Genomic DNA, 26039 nt, shown 5'->3' on the forward strand with positions numbered 1-26039 from the left:
GCTTTTAATGAGGGTGGGAGTCTCCACCTCACCCCGCAGGAGACAGCTGCAGGCTTCCAATCTGCTGCTGGAGAATGGGGGGACTTCCCGACAGCAGAGCCTATGGCTGCTCATGCAGTCATGGGGTAACTGAGTACCCCCCTTTTTCTAAGAGGTGGTTTATAATTTTTTCCCTCTCTCTCTTCTTTTCCTTGGTTGCTCACTTCCTATTAAGCCCTTCAGAAATGCAAATCTAGCCTTTCACCTCCTCCTCACCAGACATTCCCCGCGGGCAAGTTCTTCTAACCCTGTGTGCCCAGACAGCTCTCTCCGGATTTGCAGAGGAAAGCATCCCTTCCAGCTAGCTGCCCCGGATTTTCCTCCACCAGAAGCGCATTGCGAAAGCAAGCCCCTTTGGCCACCTTTACAACTTATTTCTGCCCAAGTCACCAAGAAGGTGCCACCTCAGATGTCTGGTAGATAAGGCACCAGGCTAGCAGAGGGCCCCTGCCCTTAGCTTAAAAAAGAGTTCACTTTCTGCTGCAAAGGTGAAGCAGCACATTTAAAGGCAGGATGTCTTGTGCCCCTTCCCCAAGTTATAGCTTCAGAGTAAATTCACTGTTTTTGTATCAGAACTCACTCTTGTTGATGGAACTCTGCATGCGGCGAGCAACTCACCTGGTTTTTGGTTACAGTGAAGCGGGGGGGGCTCTGGTTCCGTGTTGTCTTGTGGGACCAGAGACACAGAGCTTGCAGCATGCCATCTTGCTTGTGTGCGGTGTGTGCAATAAATGTTAAAACCACAGGTGCTCTCGTGTCCAGGCCAGGCACATCTCTGGAAGTGTGTGCACCCAGCCTAGCAGCTGCTGCTGCTGCGGGACCCTCAACCACTTGACATGGACCCTCGACCACTTGACAATGCCAATTCTCCAGAAACAGACCTTCAGATTCAGTGGAATCCCTCCAAAGAATCCACAGGTGATATTTTTTGGAGGGGACAGGGAGAGGGACACACGTTTTAAAATTGACATGGTGACTCCAGTATTTGAAGATGCATGTTGAAATGTACAGGGCCAGTTACAGACAATAAATGATCTTAGATCACAAGGTCGGAAGTCAGACTCTTCCGTGATGCAGGCTAGAAGACAGACAAACAGATCCGAGGCAGGGAACCAGAACTCCAGAAACAGACCCCCCACGTCCCCTAATATATGACAGAGTGATCACTGCAACAGATTGAGGAAAAGACAGTTTCAAAAACACTAGGGCTGGATCAATTGTGTATTTTTAGGGGAAAAATAAATATTTTCTTTTGCCTCAAACTACCATTCCGAAAGTTGATTTCATGTAGATTGAAGGTGTAAATGTGGAGGGTAAAACACTAAAGAATCAGGAAGAAAACACAGGCCTGTCTTCAAGAAGATGGGCAGACAAAGATTTTTAAACATTATTTTTTATTTTAAGTTCTGGGTACAAGTGCTGAATGTGCACGTTTGTTACATAGGTAAACATGTGCCATGGTGGTTTCACGCACCTCTCAGCCCATCACCTAGATATTAAGCCCAGCATCCATTATCTATTTTTCCTGATACTCTCCCTCCCTCTGTCCCCTCTGACAGGCCTCAGTGTGTGTTGTTCCCCTTCCTGTGTCCACATGTTCTCGTCGTTCAGCTCCTACTTAATAAATGAGAACATGTGGTGTTTGGTTTTCTGTTCCTGTGTTAGTTTGCTGAGGATAGTGGCTTCCAGCTCCATCCATGTCCCTGCAAAGGACATGATCTAGTTCCTTTTTATGGCTGCATAGTATTCCATGGTGTATATGTACCACATGTTCTTTATCCAGTCTATCATTGATGGGCATTTGGGTCGGTTCCATGTCTTTGCTATTGTGAATAGTGCTGCAATGAACATATATTTGCATGTATCTTTATAATAGAATGATTATATTCCTTTGGGTGTATACCTAGTAATGGGATTGCTGGGTCAAATGGTATTTCTGGTTCTAGGTCTCTGAAGAATTGCCACACTGTCTTCCACAACGGTTGAACTAATTTACACTCCCACCAACAGTGTGAAAGTATTTGGCAAAGATTTTTTAAATGGGACAAAGAAAGCACTAATCATAAATGAGTTTGAAAAAAATGGAACTTTATGAAAAATTAATAATTTGTGTTCATCAAAATACACTGTTAGGAGAGGAAGAGGCAAGCTCCGCATAGTGAAGGCAACTTGCAGTCCATGCATTCAGTAAATACCCACACACCAAGAATGTAACAAGATTTCCTGCAAACTGGTAAGAAGGCAAACCAAAAGAAAATCTCAGCAGAGAACTTGAGCAGAAACAGCGCGAGAGAGGCTGTCCACACGGCTTGCAAATACATGAAAAGGAGCTCAACGTCAGCAGTCATTAGGGAAACGCAAGTTAAAACCAAAATGAGACAGCAGAATGTCGAACATCAAAAGACCAAATTTACAAGTGTGGGAAATGCTGATCAACAGAACTGTGCATGGCCAATGAGTGTCCAGTCCTTGGCCTAGAAGGGCAGGGCTTAGGCTGGGGAAGATCAGTGGAAAGTTGAGGGCAGCAGCCAGGACTGGGGGTGGGGAGAGAGGGGAGTCCCTCCAGAAGGACCTACAGGGCCTAGCACTTCTTATGTGGGATGACAAGGTGCTGGATTCCTGGTCTTCTGCCACACTTGAAGCCATTTGTAGTGGTGGAGTCATGATGTTTATGCATAGCTTATTTGGTTAAAACTCATTACACAAAGGCAAAACCAAACAGTGAATGGGAGGGAGGAAACGTGGGCTGTGAAAATGACACAATTTTCAAGGAGTTTGCCTGGGGACAGAAGAGAGACCAGGGGGAGGTAGAGCTGATGCAGAAGGTTTCAAGGACAGTGAGGGAGATCCCAGCCCTGAAGATGGTGACAGAGACCCCAGCCCCAGGGACAGTGAGAGGGACCCAAGCTCCAGGAGGGTGAGGGAGCCCCCAGCCCCTCTGGTGACTGCGATGCAGGAAGGAAGAGCTGGATCTCCCAGGAGGCCTTGGGTGAGGGTCCCTGGGGTGTGCTGGGCTCTCAGGAAGCACTTGAGGGGAGAGGTCTGTCAAGCATGTGGCCAAATTCTAGAGTGAAGGGTTAGGGGGACATGAGGGTTAGGGGGACATGAGGGTTAGGGGGACATGAGGGTTGGGGGGACATGAGGATTATGGGGGACATGAAGGTTGAGGGGACATGAGTGTTAGGGGGGACAGGAGGATTATGGGGGACATGAGGAATTGCTGATTTGGGGCAGGAAAGTGGAAGCTCTGAGCCAATTACAGCTAACATTAGAAGGATCCGCACAACATGCCGGGACCCCAGATCCAGGGACACGGGCGAGGTGTTTTGTGCCCGGCCTCCCTGGTTCCCACTTCTCCCTGGCAGGCTGCGGGCAGCAGGCTGCGGTCCTGAGAAGCGGGAGCCGTGTCCATGCTGACACCCGTGCTGTGCCTCCTGGAGGGAGCCTCGCCAGCCGTATGGCAGCATGTGTGACGGTCTGTGATTCTTTTTCCTAGGGTCCTATTTTCCCTCCCTAGGAAAAACACTGTCCTAATAAATTGTCCTACCTCTTCCCTGGTTCTCTTATTTAAGAACTCAGGGGCCAACTCCTCAGGCCATCTGTTTTGTGCCTTAAGAATGTGAGCATCAGTGAACATAGTGACCCTGCAGTCCTCACTCCCCACCCCCCCTTTTAAGCAGCCGCTCTGTTCAGCACACCACAGGATCACATGCACACACCATGTGCACACACCCTGCACACCACACACACACCACGCACACACCATATACACACACCACACACACACCATATATACATAATACACCACACCCCACACACCATATACTCACACCACACACACACCATACACACACCATATACACACACCACACCCCACACCATATATACATAATACACCACACCCCACATACCATATACTCACACCACACACACACACACGCATCACACACACCATATAAATATGCCACACTGCACACACCAGGCACACCATATATACACACATCATATACACCAAACCACACACATACACCCCATACACATCATATACATCACACCACACATACATAATACACACTCCACACACACGCCACCCTCCTCTCACACAACATATAAGCTACACCACACACACTACACACACCATATACACCACTGTAGATACACGTAATATGCACACCACACACACACACTACATACCCCACACACAGCATGTATACCACACCACACACACACACACACACAAAACTCAGACCATACACACGCATATTACACAGAACACACATACTCGACACACAACATACACACAGAACACACACACATAGTACACACCATATGCACACACCACAGATACACATAATGCACACACACTATACACCCCATGTTGTCTCACACACATGCATCGTCTCAGGGCATGGCCGCTGTGGGGGACCAGCGAGTGGCCCCCCATCTCACAGCCTCCCGAGTGGGTGCTAGCTGTCCTAGGAGGGGAAGCTGTCCTGTCTCTGGAGGCTCCGTGCCAGGGATGGAGGTGCCTCCTGCCCCCGGCTCCTCTGAGTGGGTGCCCCACAACTCCCATCAACTGCGGTCACAAAACCCCACACAGGCCAGCCCTGCCTGACAAGCTACAGGTGGGAACTCTGCCAAACGACACAAAACACAAGCCGGCATCACAGGTCTGGTCAATAGAGGTTCCTACCATTGACCCTCCAGGAAAAAACAAACCTCTCATCCAGATCTCAGGCTCCCACGCACCCAGTCCACGTGCCCGAGGGACTGCTCTCGCTATGGGATACAGAACCCAGATCAATGAGACTGCTCCCTCCTGCCAAGTGCATGGGGCTTGTCCTTGATTCTAGGGTGAGGGGATTTAGAGTCGCCTGTCCCCATCGAGCTGGGCTTCACTAGGTAGAAAGCTGACATTTTCTCTGTACTTCGTAAAAGGAGGTGGCCACCCTCTGGGAGGGTGCAAGACGCTTTGTCCACATCTGCCTTCACCTTCCTTCTTTTTTTTTTTTTTTTTGAGACAGAGTTTCACTCTTGTTGCCCAGGCTGGAGTGTAATGGTGCGATCTCGGCTCACTGCAACCTCGCCTCTCGGGTTCAAGTGATTCTCCTGCCTCAGCCTCCAGAGTAGCTGGGATTACAGGCATGTGCCACCACGGCCGGCTAATTTTGTAGTTTTAGTAGACACCAGGTTTCTCCATGTTGGTCAGGCTGGTCTCGAACTCCTGACCTCAGGTGATCCGCCCGCCTCAGCCTCCCAAAGTGCTGGGATTACAGGCGTGAGCCACCGCGCCCGGCCATTTCACCTTCCCAGTCCTTCCACTGAGAGGACCTGTGCTCTGCTTGGGCTGACCAAGCAGCCAGACAAGGCAGGTGAGACTCAGGTGCTGGAGGACCAGGGCCATACACACATGCTGGAATCCTCGTTCCCTCTGAAATCCCTGGGCGGCCGCCCCCTTCCCACCCAGGTACGCACACAGGGCCACGCACACATGCTGGAATCCTCGTTCCCGCTGAAATCTGCCTGGGCGGCCACACGCTTCCTGTGCAGGCTGCAGGGACCCAGAGGACGGTGTCTTGCCGAGGGATCCTCCCTCCCTCCAGGTACCTCGCCCCGGGACAGCAGAAGTGAGAGACAATCCGAGCATATCCATGTAATGTGGAAATGCTGTACTATCACCCATCTAAACAAAGCTCGGAACTGTCTGCGCCCCAGGACGGGGTCCCAGCTGGCCCAGGAGAAATCGCACTCACAGGCCCAGCAGAGCCCAACGCCAGCGCTCAGAATCCCACAGTGTCTAGACACGCACAGCAGCAACACGGAAGCGGCACAGGGACAGCCCCAGCGGTGGCGACCCAGCTCCACAGGCGTGTGGCAAATGCAGGCAGGCCTGGGCTGGCTCGGGTGGGCTGAAGGCGAAGGCAGTGAAAAGACGTGGCTCTGCCCCTTTTATTGACGTGATATTGATGTCTGTTCATATCGATGCCTCTCAATGGAGGCATCAGCAGTGGCTCCAGGAGACAGAGTAGGTCTCTTACTTTATTGTTTGCTGAATGGAATAAAATACTGGACTTCACACACATGAGGTCTGCATTCGCTTGTCTACCACACACTCCAACCCCAGCTTGTGCACTGCCCTCCCCAAACATCCTTAAACATTTAAATGTTTCACCCCTAAAACAAAACACACAACCACAGGTAAAGCCCTAGAGGAAATCCCTGAGAGATGCTCCGAGAGCTGCTCCTGGCTTTCTGCCTGTGGGGACCCAACACTCCTGCTGGAGGCGGTCCCTGATTGACAGGAAGTGCCGGGAACGCGTGTGATGCGGTTTGACTAGGAGTAGCCCTGCAAAGGCACTATTCTACAAGCTGAAAACTAGTCTCTGCTTTCTTTTAGAGGCTGGAAAACCTTTCACTGAAAGTCCAGCCAATTGTCTCCTGCAACTCTTTGCCATTCTAGAGAATTTTTCATAGTCGTCTAAGTTTAAAAGCTGCAGAAACCAGCTTATTCATGTCCGTGCCGCCCTGTTGAAGCTGATAAGAGATAAACTCCAGCAGGCGCATCTCGCCACCTTTCATGGGGCAACTTAACTGCTTGGCTGCTGGAGCAAACACACAAAATTAGTTTTGGAATGGACAAAGCACAGTAAATCCTGTTTTCTTCGGAGCCAAAATCTCACATTTATAGTAAATGTGTTTTTAAAAACTAAAATGAGGTGTGAAACCCTCCTTACACAAAAAGCTTACAGAAATTCGTCTCACAGTACTGCATGGGAGATTTAAGTGGCATATTACACGTCAAAATAGAATATGGTGCCGAGGAGGTTCCTGTTCGATTTCCATGAGAGCTGTGACCCTCTACTAAGCATCCAAGAAGTCTTCACGCTTGGCTTGTCTGTCAAATTAGCAAGTCTGTGCAGAGGCTTAAGAGGGGGAAGGTATTTCCACTAAATCTCTTATTTATATAACAACAGTTTTGACATTCCTGCCATGACATCTTTTCTTCTTCAGGGATTTTCCTGTAAGTGATAAACTGTGGTGTGATTTGCAAGGTGTTTGCTCCGGTTCTCCTTTCACCAAGACGCCTGAGCCAAAGCCCCTGGCCCTCTGTGTGAATGAGTCCTACACTGGGACGGGTTCTTTAAAGATTTCTGCAGCCCACAGAAGGGGGGCCTGGACTTCTGTGTGGGGAGCCACCCCCACAGCCGCCCTTGGGCTGATGCCTGAGGAGCTAGGCCTGGGCCTTGGGGACCCCTGGCTTCCAGGAGGAGGAAGGTCCCCACCGAGAGCTCTCCTGCAGCTCAGAGTCAAGTTCATGTTTCATGGGGACGGTGCCGATTGCTTCATGTTTCATGTTCGCATTTCATGGGGACGGTGCCGATTGCTTCATGTTTCATGTTCATGTTTCATGGGGACAGTGGCAATTGCTTTTGCTTCTCCCATCCAAAAGCAGGAACAAGAGTTTTCTTTTATGCCACATCAGAATGAGAGGTAACTAGGCCAGCATGCAGGGTCCCCACCCGCGTCGCTGTCCACACTGGCTGTGTCCCCTGGCCAGGGCCCTGGTTGGCGGTGTGGGGTGGGATACGGGACTCAGCAAAAGTTGCCACCCTGGGAAGAGCAGGCGGCCAGCAGACTGCCTGGGGAGACACACCCTGGCATTTTGTTTCACCGTCAACTGTCCTAGTTCCCCCTGAGAGCCTAATGGAAGGAGAAAGCGGGCTTGCTGAGGGAGCCACTCCCTTCTCTCCACAGCGGTGGCCGTCTTGGCTCCACCCAGCCCAGCACCATGGGAGGAACCACACTTACAGCTGCTGGGTGCGGGGGGGGGGGGGGGGGTGGGCCGGGTTCCCTTCACAGCACACAGCGCCCCAGTCCCCACTGAGCTGTCACCAGTCTCCTGAAAACCCGGCACGGATCCCGCACGGGAGCATTCTCACCCAAGCCCAGAGACTCCCCTCCCACCCTTTACAATGCCCAGGGGTGGATCAAAGAGCCCCCTATCGTGGCACAAGAACAGGTCCCAGCCCCGCCCTGCCCCCAACTCTGCTGCTGCCTTTCCCCAGGACACAAGGACAGGACAGGGAAACGAGGTGGCCGTCCTCAGAGAGCACCTGGTTGCTCTCCCTAAGTCAGTGCGAGGAACACCCCATCCCTGTCCCATGTCCCAGTCTGGATGGACAGGATGGCCACCAGGTCTCTGTCTTCTCCTATAAATGTGTCCACAGCTCCCACAGGACATGGTACGGCTGGGGCAGGTCCTGATGGGGGAAGAATGTCTCATTGTGGATTGCTTTTCCTCTGGTCTGGTTTAATGTTTAACCCACAGGACTGGCTAAACGCAATCCTGTTTAATTGACTGTTTAACTTGAGAAATCTTAGTCTCGACAAGGGTCTGCATTGGACAGGTCTGCAAACACGGGCAGAAAGTTAGGTTCTGGCACCTGAAGCTGCCCTTTGCACATGCCCCTCCCAGGGACACATGCCCCTTCCCTCCCTGCAATGGCCTCTGCGTGGCCTCTCCAGCCTGAGGCCTGCAGGATAGGGCAGCATTTGCACCTCAGAGACCAGGGGAAAGCATGAATCTTAGCTTCCCACATCGCTTGCACCCCAGGCAATGGGGGCGCAGGAGGGAGCAGTGCAGCTGGAAGAGGAAAGGCAAGGCCGAGGTCGCGGATGGTTTGCAGAGGCAAGCACTGCAAGTTGCCACTGCAGGATGGCAATTGCTGATTTCATTAATAAACTTTCTTTCTAATCCTCCCTCCCTCCCTCCCTCCCTTCTTTCTTCCCTGTCTTTCTTTCTTCTTTCTCTTACTTTCTGCATAGTTGTGTTGCTTCAGTTGCATTTTCTCTTTAAAAACATGCCCTGGGCCTGAGCTGCACAGCTTAGGGACCTCCCCACAGTGGGGAGATCCAGATCCCGAATTTTGTGTGCAGAGAAACTAAGGCAAAGGGAGTTTGCATTAGAATTAGCAGCTGGGCTTCCTGGCCCTATAACTGCTTTCTGAGGGCATCCTGCGTGCCAGGAACACAGCATCCCACCGACGTTGGTGCTCCCTCCTGCATCCCACCGACGCTGGTGCTCCCTCCTGCATCCCACTGACGCTGGAGCTCCCTCCTGCATCCCACCCACGCTGGCATTCCCTCCTCTCCAGGCCCTGCTTTCGAGACACGGTGAACATCCTGTTTCAGAGAAGGAACTGGGGGCAGAGAGGCTAACATCCTTTGCCCGAGACAAGCATGTGGAGGTGGGGATTTAAACTCAGGGCTTCAGACTCCAGAGGTGCTGCCTACAGGGCCGCCTGGGCCAGCATCCTCCCATCTCAGCCTGGCCCTCAGTGAGCCAAGGCAGCCTCAGCTGGACTTACAGGGGCACACCTGTGGTTCCAGGGATGGGTAACTTTCTCCAGTTGGTGTTGGGAAGTGCAGGCAGTGTTTCAGCTTGGGGCGGAGGAGTCTCTCTTCTCTGTGTAACTGCAGCTCCTGTTAGAATTAAGAGCTTCTCTCTGATGTTTAGAGTGTCTTTCCTTCAGAGCCTTTCCGGAACAGTGTCCTTCCTCTCATCTCTGCACTCCTGCCTGATTCCTTATTCTAGAGATGCCACGACGGTACTAACCAGACTCCCTCTGAGAGCCAGGAGAGCTCGTCTGTGTGCTGGGACCTGGCTCTGCCACGCTCCCAAGCCTGGAGGGAGCAACTCTGTGACAGCACGAGTCTCAGGGAGAAGGGGCCCCTCTTGGCTGCTCCAGTCTTCAACGTCCCTACAGTCTGGGGGTCCCCTGTAGACCTGGGTCCCCTGTAGTCTGCAGGGCCCCCTACAGTCCCTGGGGTTCCCTAAAGTCTGGAGGTCCCCTATAGTCACTGGGTCCCCTACAGCCCACAGGGTCCCCTAAAGTTTCTGGTGTGCCTGACTGTCCCCAGGATCCCCTACAGGCCCCAGGTTCCTCCATAGTGCCTTGGACTCCGTCTTGTTCTCTGCGAGGCCTGAGAGACACACCACGGGAAAACGATGAGGGACATTTTCCTTTAGCTCAGAGAGGCCCGGGGCTGAGGGGACAGGAGGAGGGAGACGTGAATGGGTGGGATGTGAGGTGGAGGAGGTGGACCAAGCCAAGGGCTGGCTCTCCCGTGCTCAGTGACAGGATGCTTGGAGTGATTCCAAAGCCTTCTTTTATCACAATTGACTGAATCCTAATTCTGAAAGATTACATAATCAGGATTAATCCTCACTGAAAGGATGAAAAATAATTCCAGTGGAGAATTGAGTTCCTGCTGTATTTGAATTATTCACTCCAATTTTTCTCTGCTCTTGAACAAAAGAACTACTGCCAAAGCTTGGACTCCTGTATATCCCACCAAGTCTTTAAGATGATTATTAAATTTGCTTTTAAAACCACGAAGAGGACTCAAGGTTGACATGTGCTGGAGCCACGGGAAGCGGCAGTTCGTGCTCCGCGATGCGTGACTGTTACTTCACTGTGACTGCCCACGTCTGCCCTGGGTCCTTTCACTGTGACTGCCCACGTCTGCCCTGGGTCCTTTGTCCGGCTCCGTGGATTGGTTTGTAATATCCCAGCAGAGTGCAGGGGGCTCCAGGGCCCGCAAGGCCGCGCCTATTAGCATGTACGTGACACAGGACCATCCGCAGAACATTTTATTGTCTTCAATTTTATGATTTTAGACTTCTAATATCTCGTAATTTTGGCTACCAGTGTGTGCTGGTTGCCATTTGGAGACATTTCATTCTCTTTATAAGTCTCCACCCATCCGAGGGGAGCAAGCCTCGCACTCTGGGTCCGGCCACGCAGCTGCGGAGAAAGCGGCACCGCCAGCGTCTTCCCCGTCCCAGGACCGTCCCTGCACAGCTCTCCTCTGCCCTCACACACACACCTTTCCCCCTCCTCACTTTCAGCTGATACTCTAACCCCACACGTCTCAACAACCAGGGCCACTGGAGGGGAGCTCATCGTCTCCTCCTCGCTGGATGAGGGCGAGGGCCCGTCAAGCACAGCTCTGCAGCTGCTGTACGGCGTCCACAAAGCAAAGACCCTGCTCCGCGGACCTGGCCTGTCTTCTCCTCAGGGTTCCCTGTAGGGCTGGATGATGACAGCCACCAGCACGTGTTGGCCCCAGGAGCCAGCACCTGCAAAAACAGGCCGCTAGCTGGACTCCAAACCGCACGCCACGCAATGTTCCCTTCTCCCCAGCCCTGAGCAGCAGTAGCTCTTGGGAGAGCTAGCAGGTGTGAGGGTTCCCACTTCCTCCCCAGCCCAGCCTAGCAGCGTCCTCCCTCCGGAGCCCATAGGTGGCCTTAGTTGGGCTGCATTCCAGCAGCATTTCACCAGCGGCAGCTCCCGTCCTGAGAGAGCATCTTTCTCCTGTCTCTGATAGCACAGTGTCCGGGGTTCCTGCCCCTTCACTCTTGGCTCCTCACGCTTATTAGCAGTATTTCCTCCTCTGTTAAACCCACAGAGAGTGGAGTGACTCAGGGCTTAGTCCCGGGTCCCTGTTTCCCCTCTTTATGCCATCTCCCTGGGTGACCTCAACCAGTTCTACCCAAGTGCCAGTGACTCCCCAAACTCTCTCCAGCGCTTCGTATTCCAAGGAGCTTCCAGTTAAGAATTCCAGCTGCCTACTCAGCATTTCCAATGGGTAGACTTACAGTCAATGTAAACTTAATGAGATTCCAAAAAATACATGTTATTCTACATCACATGGGCCACGCTTTTCTATACCACATGAGCCACGTTATTCTACACCACGTGAGCCATGCCACTCTACACCACGTGAGCCACATTATTCAACATTATCTGAGCCATGCCATTCTACATCACGTGAGCCACACTATTCTACAACATCATATTGGCCGCGTTCACCCCATGTCATACGCACCACGCTCTTCTCCGTCGACACCCATGGGTCATGCTCATTCTGCTTTATTATCACATGTTCCATATTATTCTACATTGCATGCACCACCTTATTCTATAGCATCAGGTGCACCACGCCCATCCAGTTCTCTCATCCCTGCTCCTTCCCCTCTGGCCTACGTCTCCATCACCTGTCACCTGGACCATGGCCATAGCCTCGGCTGCATCTTGGTTTCCCTGATTCCACTCTTCTCAATGATAATCTGTCCTCTACACAGAAGATAGGAGCATCTGAAAAGCAAAATTAAATTAGATGATGCCTCTCTCTGCTCAAAATCTGTCCACTGATTGCTCGACACAGTTAGAATAAAACCAAACCCCCAGCACCATCTTGCAAAACCGCGTGATACAGGGCTGTGCAGGACCAAGGCTGCTCAGGTGATAGACAGTGGCTCCGGGGGTGCTGCTCCCTCAGGTGCACTGTGAACCAGGCAGGAGTGGGGGACCCCACACCCCTCTCCAGCAGGAGGGGCCAGGCGTCTGGTCACTTGCTGTCATCCCTCCTCATTTTAAATCTCAGTAACACTTATTGTGACCAAATGCCCTTGTCTCTTTTATTTGTTTCTTGTTCATTAGCCCAGAAGTGGTGGCAGAGCAGCTGTGGTTTATCTAAGACAGGGTGAGCCACGGAGCGGCCCACTCCTCTCCTGCAGGGGGTCTCTCCAGTCACCACCGTGGTTTATCTAAGACAGGGTGAGCCACGGAGCAGCCCGCTCCTCTCCTGCAGGGGGTCTGTCCAGTCACCACCGTGGTTTATCTAAGACAGGGTGAGCCACGGAGCGGCCCTGCTCCTCTCCTGCAGGGGTGTCTCCAGCCACCACAAACACTGGCGTGATTTCACGTCTCTTGGGGCACTTGCTCCTGTCCTGGTGAGGAGCATCTAACTAGCAAGCCCAGGTCAGCTGTGAGTTCCTGCTTTCCGCAAGAGGTACACAGGCACCGCCCATCTAGACCACACCCTCCCGTGTACTCCCCAGAGAGAATGGGAAGGAGGAGAATGGTGCGTGTCTGCTTCTGAGCTCACTGTAGGGAGCAAGAGCTCGTGAGGGCCAGAAACGGAATGAGAGGGAGGCTCCCCAGCACCCCAGAGGCCTCGTCGCGTGAGTGGACAGGTTTTGGCTCACCCAACACAGAGCATAGTTAGAAACGTCTCGAGTCTCTGTTAGTGGGACCCACAAATGCCAACAGTGGAATCCCTTTCCTGGGCTTTCCCAGGGACTAGAAGGCATTTTCAGAAGGCAGGAAGCATCACGTGTCAGGCAAGTTACGTTTGTGTGGTGGTGAATCTCCTCTGCCACCTCGAAAGCAGGTGCCACCCATGGAGATGGAACAGGCAGTGTCAGGGACAGCTCAGCAGCCCCCGTGGTGTTGCCACAGCCGCCCAGGAGAGAGAGGATGGTGCCGTGAGCCCTCCGGGTGTCCACCTGCGAGGACAGGACCCTCCCCACGGGGGCAGCCTCTCCCCCCACAAGCTCATCATCTGCCAAGGTTGTGCAAACTCGCCGCCCGGTCTCCTGCCTCCTAGGCTGAGCAGGGTCTACAATCCTTGACCCATCGTGCTGAATGAGCCTCGGAATCTGGGCTGCGCTGTCTGTTGTACACACGGCCGAGGTTGCACTAGGGGGAGTCTCCATGCCCCGCAGGTCCCAGGCTGGGCTCCCCTGGCCTCAATCCCATCGGTCGCACTTGGCTCCTTATTCTACTGCCACGGAGAAGGAAGCTTGAGAACTGGGCTCCCTTGTCCAGGGCGATAGCGAAAAGCGGCACCAGGGGCTCAGGCAGGGTCAGAGGGTCCCTGGGCTTGCTCCTCCTCTCCTCCCGGTGGGGTCAGAGGGTCCCTGGGCTCGGACAGGGTCAGATGGTCCCTGGGCTCACTCCTCCTCTCCTCCCAGGCTGGGTGCTTGGGGTGGGCAATGTCACAGAGGGTGAGGCCCAGCTGTGGGGCAGCCCCAGGATATAGAGACTCCGCCAGCTTCCAGTGTCACTCCCGTCCCCCGCTCAGAGTCCTCAGCCCCCGGCCCAGCCCTGTCCTGTCCACGTCCCTCCTACAGAGGTTGGGAGATGGGGAGGGCGTGCTCAAGGCCGCTGTGTGCTCCTGTGGGGGCTGCAGCCGGGACTGCACATCAATCATCCTTCACTCAGCGCCTCATGCTGATGGAAATGTGAATTAATTCATTTGAAATTAATGAAGAAGCGAGAGCTGTGATCTACACCAGCTTCTAGGCACTGCATCTACACAGATCTTTCTTCCAGCCAGCTCCAAAAATAACCACGCTGAATACAACCGGGCCTTTCAGAGAAGACCTCGGAGGCATCTTCTGCAGCTTCAAAGAGTCCCGGCACTAATTGTAAAAGCGGAACAGATGCCTCGTGGGCTGCCGACTGATGCCTTTGACAGTGGCACACAAGTGACACCGAGCTCAGCACAAGACACACAGAGGGGTGCCTTGCACTGAAGATGCGAGCACCACCTTGCAGTTTGATGTTGATGGTCTATGTGGAGTTTCTGAAAGCCTTGTCAACATCATTGACTCCGTGTTGGGAAATACCTTTCCTCTGAAGGGTAAGCCAGTGGCAAGCATTTCATCATTTGGTGTACACATGAGAAACAGGCAAAGCAAGTCCATACTCAGAGCTGGAAACTCAAGGGGTTGCACATGGAGACCAAGCCTCCCAACAGCAGTGCCTCATTTTCAGAGCAGCAGGCACAACGCTGCATCCCTGAGTTTCCTCTTCAAGTCACGTGAACACAACCGTTGCTCTTATTTATGAACCAGGAACACAGGTGTCAGGGAGGGTCAATGCACGGTCAATTGGCTGCACACGGTCCTGTCCAGCCCAGCAGGTCGAGCCCTGGGGCCGCACCTCTCCACCCCCTCTGTGTGTGCTCACTTCCGTGCCTCTTTGTCATCCACGGGTGGGGAGGGAAGGCGGTCTCATGGGAAATGACGCTCTGCCACTGCAAAGCCTGGTCAACCCTTGCTCAGCCATTCCAAAGCTTCCTCTTAGGAGCAAGAGCTCCCTAACCATCCCCTGCCGAGCCGGAGCTGTGTCCTGGGGCTTGAATCCCGGCTTCCATTCCTCTAGGCCTTCTGGGGTTCAGAAGTCACTTTTCTTCCTTAGCAAAGCCTGACTTGCAATATCATTGTTTCTCTGTAAGTTTTAAAATCCTACTTTGGAAGTTTCAAGGAATGCCTCAGGCTAGGTTGCAGCTGGTACTAAGGGAAGTTTGAAAAGGAAAAGCACATTCATCTCTCTGAGAAACACCTCCCTATGCTGGGAAATGTGAAAGCAGGTGGGACACCAGTCATCTTAGTACATCACATTGTCACTGCCGCGAATGTGTGGGACACCCATCATCTTACCACATCACATCGTCACTGCCGCGAACGTGTGGGACACCCATCATCTTACCACATCACATCGTCACTGCCACGAACGTGTGGGACACCCATCATCTTACCACATCACATCGTCACTGCCGCGAACGTGTGGGACACCCATCATCTTACCACATCACATCGTCACTGCCGCGAACGTGTGGGACACCCATCATCTTACCACATCACATCGTCACTGCCGCGAACGTGTGGGACACCCATCATCTTACCACATCACATCGTCACTGCGTGAATGTTTTTCTGAATACATCACACATTTGGCTCCATAAAATCTGTTTTCTAATCTACTTTTTAACTTAGTATGTTGGCCTCAACTTTGCACTTTATTTTTCTTCGTGACTGTGTGGTGCTCTCCTCTCTGGAGGTGCCTTCACTGAGGCTGCATTGAAGGGCTGTGTGGGCCAGCGAGTGCTGTGGTCGGGGTGTGGACGTCAGTGTGCCCAGGCCTGAGCCAACCCACAGGGAGTACAGGGCACGTTCATGGGCAGCACTCCATCGCATCTAGCAGGGCTTTCTGTGTGCCTGTGCATTTAAGATCAATACTTTCTCAGCGTTGATTTTCTCTTCTCTACATGAAAACACTATGAGACTCTCATTTGACTGCAAATCCTAAGTGCTCAGAAAGTTCCAGAATGTGTCTTCCCTGGCATTCCCCTAGAAACAAGGCCCAGTACTTCAATGCCCTACATAGAACTCCCTCTGATTTGTACACTCTTCAATGACAGGTGCTCACGGTCCAGGCAGGAGGTTTATCCATGGATGGTGTGACATTGGGAATGAGGAGGGCAGAGGTGGCAAGGACTGCACGTGTGTCCAGCCCAGAGGGTCAGAAAGCCTTGCCTGGTGCAGTGGAATGAATTGCTCCTCATACCACCCATATGCTGAAGTCCTAGCCCCTGAAACCTGTGAATCTGTTCTTATTTGTAAATATGGTCATTGCAATTACAATTAAGATGCAAATTAAGTCCAGCTTGGTGGCTCACACCTGTAATCCCAGCACTTTGGGAGGCCGAGATGGGTGGATCACCTGAGGTCAGGAGCTTGAAACCAGCCTGGCCAACATGGTGAAACTCTGCCGCTACTAAAAATCCAAAAATTAGCCAGGCATGGTGGCAGGCACCTGTGATCCCAGCTACTCAGGAGGCTGAGGCAGGAGAATCGCTTGAACCCGGGAGGTGGAGGTTGCAATGAGCCGAGATTGTGCCACTGAACTTCAGCCTGGGTGACAGAGCAAGACTCTGTCTCAAAAAAAAAAAAATGATTTAAGTTAAGATGAGGTCACAGTGGGGTAGGTGGTCCTTAGTGCAATATGATAGTGTCCATATAATAAGAGGACAGACCTGAGAGGGGAGCACTGTGGGACACACAGAGGGAGAACAGCCAGGTCCTGATGGGGGCAGAGACTGCAGGCCCTGTCTCCATAGAAGCCAGAAATGCCACGAAGAGCCAGAGACCACCATGTCTCAGACTGCTCAGGTGGCTCTGAGAATAGACTCTGTGGCCGATCAGCAGCAGACATTCACCCGCCACTGTTCCGGAGGCTGGCAGTCCAAGGTCCGGGCGGGAGGCTGGCAGTCCAAGGTCAGGGCAGATTCAGTGTGTGGTGAGCGCTGCTTCCTAGTGTCATCTTCCCGCAGTGCCCTTACGTGGTGGAAGGGGTGAGGAGCCCTCTGGGCCTCCTGTAGGACATTACATAAGGGCACTCACCCTGCCCATGAGGCTCCACCCTCAAGAAACCAGCCCCTCCCAAAGGCCCCCCTAATGCCGTCACCTTGGGGAGGGGAGGACTTCGGTAATTTGGAGGGACACAAACTCTCAGCATATGGTACCCCAGAAGATGAGAGAGAGAGAAAGCCCTGCCGCCACCTGGGTTCTGAACTTCTAGCTCCAGCGCCGCGGGCAATGAGTCTCTTGCTTGAAGCCCCAGGTCATGTCCGAGGCAGCAGCCGAGGACACAGCTGGGAACACACAAGTTCTGAAGGACAGACAGGCCCATGCAGTCCCGGGAGTGGGGGCTCCTGCAAGGCTGCGGTGAGGGGCCCTCCAGGGCTCTGCAGGTGCTGGTAGAGGTGCACATAGCATGCGTGGAGAGAGGAACCCATAGATGCTTGCTAGACCCTTGGCTACTCACGTCGATTGGCTATGGCCTGATGCTTGGTTTGGGGTTTGGAAATGGGTCACTGAAGATACACCTGCAAGCCTGCATGAAGGAGAGAGCAGGTGCCAGATGAACAAGTCACCACGGAGGCCCACCAGCTCACCCAGCCGCTCGGCCATCCCATATCCCGATGGTGCCAGTGGTGTGCATGTAGACACCTGAGCAGCAAGCCGGAGCACGGAAGGTAGGAGCGTGTGCCGGGTGCAGGGTGCTGCATGCTCACCCGAGGGGCACGGCTCTGAGCATGGAAGGTAGGAGCGTGTGCCGGGTGCAGGGTGCTCCATGATCACCCGAGGGGCACGGCTCTGAGCATGGAAGGTAGGAGCGTGTGCCGGGTGCAGGGTGCTGCATGCTCACCCGAGGGGCACGGCTCTGAGCATGGAAGGTAGGAGCGTGTGCCGGGTGCAGGGTGCTGCATGCTCACCCGAGGGGCACGGCTCTGAGCATGGAAGGTAGGAGCGTGTGCCGGGTGCAGGGTGCTGCATGCTCACCCGAGGGGCACGGCTGGGGAGAGCCAGGGTGAGGTCTAGATTCATGCAGATGTGGCCAGCCCTGCTTCCTCACAGAGCCACAGCCTCCCAGACAGGCACCTTCAGCACCTTCCATTCCGGCTCATGCTCCTCCTTCTCCCTCTGGTCCTGCCCAACTCATTCTCTGTATGTTTCTGCCTTTGACTCACATTCCTTGAGGCACAATTCCGAGGCTTCCTGGATGACAGTCACCATGAACTCCATCTCCCCTACCAGCTGTTTCCTCCCCCATGCTCCCACTCTGGCCACCAACTTGCCCAACCCACTGCCTGTGGCTATGCCTTTGTAGAGAAGAGGAGGGGCTGGCTTGGATGGAAGGGCATCTCCCGTCCCCGTGGGTCCTGGAATGCTCATGTGCATGTCTGGGCCCTCAAAATGAGCCTGAAAATGGACCCATGATCTTCCTGCTAAACATTCCCATTCCCCTTCCCTATTTCAGGAGGCAGCAACTCCATCCTTCCAAACATGCAGGACAAAGTTTTGGAGTCCTCTTTGAGTTGCCGCTTCACACCCCATCACAAGTCTCATGGGCTCTGCTCACCTGCAAAACATACCCTAACTTAGGCCACTTACCCTACCTCCATCGCAAACGCCCTCGTCGACACTATCACCACCTTGTGCTTGGACTGGTGCAGTGGCCTCCCAACCAGTATCCATTTTTCATTCTTCACCCACAAATGGGTGCCTTCATCACCCACAAATGGGGAACTCATTACAACGGGGAACTCGATGTACCTTTTCCTAATTTGCAAGAATTTTCAAAGTCTTTAGATAAATGACTGTTATGGGTTGAACTGTGTCTGCCCCCAAAAAGCATATGTTGGCATCCTAACCCCCAGTATCTCGGAATGTGACTCTATTTGAAAATAGGGCTGCTACAGTGGTGATTATGTTAGAGAGTGATTATTAGGGTGGCCCTAAACCAATATGACTGGTGTTCTCATAAGAAGGAGCAATCTGGACATAGAGACAGACAGACACAGAGGGGAAGACGGCTGTCTGCAGGCTACGGAGAGAGGCCTGGAGCACACCCTTCCCCTGCTCCTTCAGAGAACCCACAGCCCTGCGGCATCTTGATCTCGGACGTTGGACCTCCAGGCCTGGGAGACGACAAATTCCTGCTGTTTAGGTCACCCAGGCTGTGGTTCTTAATTATGGCAGCCCTCGAAAACTTATACAAAGATAGTACATTTTAACTTAACAAAAAAATGATGCACCTCAAATAAGGAGTATGCCCACGGAACTAACGCTGCCGGCAACCCCAGCACCTGATCGTGTTCATAACGACAGTGACCATTTATGGAGCACGTCCTCTAACTCTGCTAGTGCAGACACCTCGGCATTATCGCATCCCTCCGCGGGCCAGGTAATGACACCCCCAATCCACACCGAGCAGGCCAGACCGCCAGGAGCCAGGAGGTCGTCTGGATTCATGCAGCGCGTCAGCCTAAAACCGGGATCCACCCAAGCTGCCCCGCTCAGGATTAACCACGCAAGACGCCGCTGCCTGGGACTGGCATGGGAAATGTTTCCTTCCGTGACTGGAAAACTCTGTTCCTTTATAAAAATGGTATGAAAACTTGATAGGAAAATTGGGCAAAAAGCACTTCCCCTCAGTGATTAAAAGAATAAAGTTCTGACGGCCTCTTGTGCTCGCATTTTTATATGGCTGGAGCCTCCTATAACCGCTATTCCCCAATCTTCTCTAATCTCGATCTCCTATTCTCTATTCAGCCTTTGTACTCTGCTATGTTACACATTTTTATAGTATTTGCCATCTTACAAAATCCCTTTCTTGTTGAGATATCCAAAACGATTATCCTAATGTCTGCACTATATTCCAAGCTACAACAACCCAGAATTTGGTGAGTCTTCTTCTACTGATCCGCAAGCTGGGCCCATTTTCCGGGATCCCACACAACGCTGCTGTCAGCGTCTTTGCTTGTGTGGGAACTGAAGCCAAGAGCTCACACTGATGAGGCAGAGGACAAAAGTGCCCGACTCTGGGGACCTTCAGCACAGCCTGAGCTCGGAACGGTCAGCTCCTCCCTTGAACTGACTCATTGCCTGGTGTCTGGGTCTGTCCTTGCTGTGTGCTTCAACCCGGGGCACAAGAATGAGAGGGTGACCCCAGACCTGAGCACGAGCACGCTGTGCGTCGAGCACCTAAGTCCACACAGTGCTTGGCCTCTGTCTTCTCACCTCCCTTTTCTTTCTTTTTTTATTTCTTAAATCAACTAAAATTTATTTAATTAAGCATAAAGTTACTTACACATTTGCCTACAGCCACAGTAAATACAGTTCTTGGCATAAAGACAAGGCCTTTAGAATTTAAAGCCTCCCCACCTGCAAGATTACATATATAAAACTCCTACTATTTTTATATAATAGTGGACTAGTTAATCAAATTAAAATAGTTATACTATCTAGAATAAAATAAAATGGAAACAATTTATTCATAAGATTCATATTTAAATCATCCTTATTTACAAAATACTATCCTAAGAATTATAATTCCATTAAGTTTCAATATGAGCAAAAGTGTAATCACTTGAGTAACAGCAGTTACTTAAACTGAAAATGAGATCAGTGAAAATGACTTTTGAAGAGAGCAAAAATATTGTCAGGTTTCTTGCTGTGGTTCTGATGTTCCGTAGCAGGCTCATCTGAAGGCGGACTCAGCCCTGAAGGGAACTCACTTCAACCCTCAGAATGTGGGGGCGGGGGGAAAAATCCAGGTCTTGGGGGAGGGTAAGGAGGAAAACCCCTCGGTGGATAGACGTTTCTCATTGCAAACGGAGCATGTGGTGGACCTGGGAAATCCCCTGGTGGAAAATAATCTCGAGAAGCTCCAAACCTGGTTCCTGGAGGAGGTGGGGGGAAAGGAGGTGCTCTTCTCATGAACGGGCCCCTTGTATCCACTGGAAACAGTGGACCTCTGATTGGAGCAAGAGGTGGAGGAACAAAGCCAGGGCCAGCTGCTTCATTTTCAGCGGGGAGAGATGAATCAGGCACATTTAAATTACCAAGATCATCTTTGGTGTCATTTCTACTGGATTCCATTTCTGAAGGCATTGACCCATCCATTTTATCCAAAGAAGGCATATTAAAACTTCTGAGTTCTGCTGGTCCAGACAGTCTACCAGAGTTAGAGTAAAATCTGTCTTGCCTTTGTGGAGGAAGAGCTGAATCAGGATATGATGGTCCTGGTGGAGGAAACATCATCCTATGGTCCTGTTCCCATGGAGGTGACAGGGACCCAGTGTCAGAAGGAGCCCTGTGAGGATCGGTTAACCTATCACAGCTTGATTCTCCTCTTTCCTTGGTAATCTGATGGTCCGGAGGATTCCCTGGGCCTCTTGAGCCTCTTCCTTCTCCCCCTGGAGGCGAAGGTGAGAGTCTGAGTGGACCCTTCCACAGAGTTGGAGGATAGAGAAAAGCTCTCGTTTCAGATGAAGGCCGACCCAGTGGTGAGGGACCATATGGGGAATGCTCTCTGCCAAATGCAGTATTTGGAACATCAAGTGCATACGGATCTTTTTTTAGAAGTTTTATTTTATACTCTGTTTCAGCTAATTTTTGTCTGTTGTGAGCATTTTCTTTCCTTAAATCGTCGAGGTTTCTTTCAGCAGCCCAAGCTGCCAACCAGTTATGATGTGCCTTTTTCTCATGGGAAATAATCTTCCTTTGATAAAAATGAATATTTCTGTCAAATTTGTCAAGATCTTTGGCTCGCTGTCTGTAGGTCTCCAGCTCTTTAGTGGCATGGCTGCTCATTTAGTCTACTTTAGAAAGTTTCTCTTCTTTCTCTAACCGGCTATTTTCCTCTACTATTAATTTCCTGTAGAGTTTCATTTCATTTTCTTTATATAATTCAGTCATTACTTTAAGTTTCTGTTGAAGCTTCTGATTCTCACTTTCAAAATGTGTGTTTTCTAACTGCAAAGATGCTTGTTCAGTCTGAAGATTTTTAATATGCTCTGTAAGCTCTTCCTTTGTTTTATCAACTTCAGATAACTGAATATAAATTTGGTTTCTTTCTCCTTCTAAGGTTTCAAAGAAGCATTTAACTTAGCGGCAGGAATCAGCTTCTTCAAAGCTCCTTTGGAGGGATCATCTGAGTGAGCACCATCTTCCGATTCACTGTTCACTTCTAAGTTACCATCATCCGTTGTGTCTTCTCCAAGCCTCGCAGCCCAATCTTTCATCTTTAGCAAACGTTCGGTCAGAGTCTCGATGCGATTTTCTTTATCACTTAGAACTTGTTCTGTGTGTACTTTGGAGTCTTCAAATGTTCTTTTCTGTTTATTAAGTTCACTCACTTCTTCTTTCCATACTTCAGCTTCTTGCAAAAGCTGTTTCTGGTTTTCCTGAAGTTGAGAATTTTCATTCAAAGCATCTTCTATTGTTATCTTCAGTTGTTCTCCGTTCATGTGAAATGTCTTGAAAGTCATTTTGCCTTTAGCTATTTGTGATTTGAGGGATTTTGACGCATCTTCCAGCAACTGTATCCTTTTGGAAATATCTGCTATCAGTTCATCTCTTTCAGAATGTTTAGATTTCTCTTCTTTTAACTCTTTTTCTAGACAGAGTATTTCATGCTCAAGCTCAGAATTTGACCTGTTCAGCTTTTCACAGGTTGCCTGCAAACTTTGTGCTTCTGCTGCCGCCTTCTCAAAGCTGGCATCCTCTAACGATGACGCTACTTCATAGCCTTCATACGCTTTTTGAACGAGGCTAAATTTTTCAAGTAGTTTACATTTTTCTTCAATTAGTCCAGAAAGCGCTACAGCAAGTTTTTTCTCTCTTCCCACATAAAGCCGACTCCTAACAGATCTAAAACTTCTCCACAAAAAAAAGGGAACAGCAAAAAATCCAACAGCAGCTGCATGTATCACCAATTCCCATGGAAAACCGTAAGGATGAGAATCCGGTCTCATACCGTCAGGCAGTGCTGCCACAACCCTGCGTCGCAACTCCAGGATCAGCCCCAAGCACGGCTGAGGGGTAGCCCTAGGGTCCTCCGTAGCGCCAAGGCTGCTCTGGCGGTTGCTGCAGTAACCCCAGCCACAACAAGTCGTGGACAACACGCAGCATTCCATCTGGAACCCAGATCCCCACCGGGCAAGCGGAGCGAACCACTGCGGAGCCAGCTGCGGGGGGAGTGGGGGAACGTGGGCACCCACAGGCCTCACAGGCCCACGTTGCCCACCCCGGCCCCCTTGTTACGCTTTACATCCTGAGGCAGCACTAAAACCTATATTTTCAAACAATACCACAGGCAAAGAAAGACTCAGGTGACACAGCGTCCCAGCTATGCCCACCCCCAAGCTGACACCCTAGCTAAATGTAGCCTTGTGCATGAGCCCAGGTGAGGCCAGCAGAAGAACCTCCCAGCTGACAGAATGATAAAGAATAACAAATCACCATTTTAAGGCACTAAGCTTTGGGGTCATTTGTTATGCAGCAGTAGCTAACTGAAACACCTGCCCCCTTATCACTTTGGTGTTTCAGTATCTGTGGTCTGAAATCATTAATTTGGGTGCTTGGCCTTTCTCCCTTGACTGCCCACCCCTGCCGAGGGACATTTATTCTTGAAGGCAGAAACTCATGCCTGCTTTATCTCTGGCCGTATTTCAGCAGCTGAGGGGAGAGGATTGCCCTGTGCCCATAGCCTGAGACCTGATGACACCACTGTGACCTTGAGCATGGATGAATGTCCAAAACCTCTGGCCTTACCACATGCTTGGCCCTGAGAGACTTCTCAGCACAAACAGTGCCAGGAGATGATGTGACATGGGTGGAGAAGGGAGAGGAGTGCTTATCTGGAAGGAAGGGTCTTAGAAACCCAGTCTGCAGCTGTGGCTTATGATTCCTCAGGGATAGGAGATTGTCCGCTGGCTGGACTGGGAGCACAACTGTCACTCCTCCCTGGCCACTGTGACCCCATTGCAGCTCTGCAGATGCCAGGCTTTGCCCCTCTGTGTTTGCATTAAGCACAAATTGTCCTGACTCAGCAGTGGGGTTTCTGAATCCAGCAACTCACTGATGTTGACCTTTGAACTGAGGGGATCAGTGCTGTTTAACCCCAAGAAGGGTCTCAAATGAAGCATTAAAGTTCTCCCCTTTCTATCCAAAGCTGATAGATGGATAGATAGATGATAGATAGATAGATAGATAGATAGGATAATTTGCTTCCAAGTTTTTCTTTTTCTCCTATTATTTATTTTCTTCTTCATTTTAGTTATAACATGCTTGTTCATCTTAACCTAATTTTCACTTCCTATATCCTTGTTTTTGACCATCTGGTAAATCAGCAAATGCCGATTAAAGAGCTGATCCAGGGAAGACAGCCATCACTTCAACAACGATGCCCTCCATGGAGGGCTGATTCTAGGGAAGACTGAGCGATCACTCCAAGAGTGATGCCATCTATGGAGGGCTGATTCTAGGGAAGACTGAGCGATCACTCCAAGAGCGATGCCATTCATGGAGGGCTGATCCAGGGAAGACTGAGCAAGCAATCACTCCAAGAGCGATGCCATCCATGGAGGGCTGATTCTAGGGAAGACTGAGCGATCACTCCAAGAGCGATACCATCCATGGAGGGTTGATTCTAGGGAAGACTGAGCGATCACTCCAAGAGCGATGCCATCCATGGAGGGCTGATTCTAGGGAAGACTGAGCGATCACTCCAAGAGCGATGCCATCCATGGAGGGCTGATTCTAGGGAAGACTGAGCGATCACTCCAAGAGCGATGCCATCCATGGAGGGCTGATTCTAGGGAAGACTGAGCGATCACTCCAAGAGCGATGCCATTCATGGAGGGCTGATCCAGGAAAGACTGAACGATCACTCCAAGAGTGATGCTGTCCATGGAGGCAATGAGACAGGATGGAACTAAAGCACAGTGAGTAATAGCACAGGAGGCTGGACAAGGTGTCCATGGATTGACAGCATTCTGTGGTATTTGCATTGCATGAAAGAAGAAAAAAATTGTTATAAATTTAAACTTTCTTAAGACAAATATGTGTGTCAAAATATGTAAAAACAACTCTTGAAATAAAATAAATAAAATATATACTTCTCCAACTAGTAGAGAGAATAAAAAGAATTTAAGAAATTACAATCAAACTCACATGGACAAAACAAAGAAAAAGTATGATAATGAGCAAACATAAAATAGGTATTAGAAATAAATTTAAATAAATTCAATGATTGTAAATGAATCTAACTAGCTATTAAAGTGTGAGAGAGAGACACACTTAAAATACAGTATCACGGAAAGGCTGAATGTAAAGGGATATGAGCAGAGCTAACAGGAAAATACAAAGGCCAAAGAGAGGGCATTATAACAACATGACAGGCTGGAGTGAATTTAGAGAAAGAAGCATTATTAGGGGCATAAATCGCCAATGTGTAATGATAAAAAGAGCCATTCAGGGGGAAAAAAAAAAGCACTTCTAAAGTACAGACCTAACAAGACAGTATTCAACTGTATAAAGCAAAAAAGGATAACAATCAAAGACAAATGCACCAATCTAGAAACATAGCAACATATTTCACCATACCTGCAAGCAGAGAATAAAAATGTACACACACAGAGGAAGTGAAGGGCTCACTTTTTCATAAATATGGTTGAAACCCTGCCAGCAACAAGCACACAGGGAGAATCTCTGAAAACTTACCCCAGGAGATTACAAGGGAAGTCTCAACAAACACAACAACCACAAAACTATAAGAATCATCAGCATCTAGTCTAGAGTGTTTGACCTCACAATAAATTAGAAAATAATAACAAAAAGACAACTCACCAAAACCCCTTCGGTTTGTAAGTTTACAAAGACCTTTTAAATAATTTATGGTCAAATTAGAAAGAATAATGAAAGTACAAAAAAATTACTAATTAATACCAACAAAAACACTCTATACCAAAGTTGTCGGAGCTAGCTAACATGGTACTAAGACTGAAAACCCATT

At 50.6% G+C, this 26039-nt stretch overlaps 1 pseudogene, besides 7 other annotated features; it reads right to left on the reverse strand.

The window, feature by feature from the left end:
* Positions 6924–7636: an enhancer, noted in NCBI's record as "H3K4me1 hESC enhancer chr6:168673827-168674539 (GRCh37/hg19 assembly coordinates)". NCBI's record gives its function as "activates a minimal SCP1, AML or CMV promoter by ChIP-STARR-seq in naive H9 embryonic stem cells {active_cell/tissue: H9 hESC(naive)}" and the evidence as "EXISTENCE:reporter gene assay evidence [ECO:0000049][PMID:30033119]".
* Positions 12723–13377: an enhancer, noted in NCBI's record as "H3K4me1 hESC enhancer chr6:168679626-168680280 (GRCh37/hg19 assembly coordinates)". NCBI's record gives its function as "activates a minimal SCP1, AML or CMV promoter by ChIP-STARR-seq in naive H9 embryonic stem cells {active_cell/tissue: H9 hESC(naive)}" and the evidence as "EXISTENCE:reporter gene assay evidence [ECO:0000049][PMID:30033119]".
* Positions 14032–14686: an enhancer, noted in NCBI's record as "H3K4me1 hESC enhancer chr6:168680935-168681589 (GRCh37/hg19 assembly coordinates)". NCBI's record gives its function as "activates a minimal SCP1, AML or CMV promoter by ChIP-STARR-seq in primed H9 embryonic stem cells {active_cell/tissue: H9 hESC(primed)}" and the evidence as "EXISTENCE:reporter gene assay evidence [ECO:0000049][PMID:30033119]".
* Positions 14032–15854: a biological region, named in NCBI's record as "BRD4-independent group 4 enhancer GRCh37_chr6:168681558-168682757".
* Positions 14655–15854: an enhancer, noted in NCBI's record as "BRD4-independent group 4 enhancer chr6:168681558-168682757 (GRCh37/hg19 assembly coordinates)". NCBI's record gives its function as "activates an origin of replication core promoter dependent on BRD2, P300/CBP, MED14 and CDK7 cofactors, and independent of BRD4, by STARR-seq in HCT116 cells {active_cell/tissue: HCT116}" and the evidence as "EXISTENCE:reporter gene assay evidence [ECO:0000049][PMID:35650434]".
* Positions 14687–15340: an enhancer, noted in NCBI's record as "H3K4me1 hESC enhancer chr6:168681590-168682243 (GRCh37/hg19 assembly coordinates)". NCBI's record gives its function as "activates a minimal SCP1, AML or CMV promoter by ChIP-STARR-seq in primed H9 embryonic stem cells {active_cell/tissue: H9 hESC(primed)}" and the evidence as "EXISTENCE:reporter gene assay evidence [ECO:0000049][PMID:30033119]".
* Positions 15306–15490: a silencer, noted in NCBI's record as "fragment chr6:168682209-168682393 (GRCh37/hg19 assembly coordinates)". NCBI's record gives its function as "represses an EF-1alpha promoter that drives an FKBP-Casp9 reporter gene in an ReSE screen in K562 erythroleukemia cells {active_cell/tissue: K562}" and the evidence as "EXISTENCE:reporter gene assay evidence [ECO:0000049][PMID:32094911]".
* Positions 20576–23102, reverse strand: CTAGE13P (CTAGE family member 13, pseudogene; annotated as a pseudogene).

The sequence above is a fragment of the Homo sapiens genome, chromosome 6, assembly GCF_000001405.40.
Source record: "Homo sapiens chromosome 6, GRCh38.p14 Primary Assembly".
NCBI classification, from domain to species: domain Eukaryota; kingdom Metazoa; phylum Chordata; class Mammalia; order Primates; family Hominidae; genus Homo; species Homo sapiens.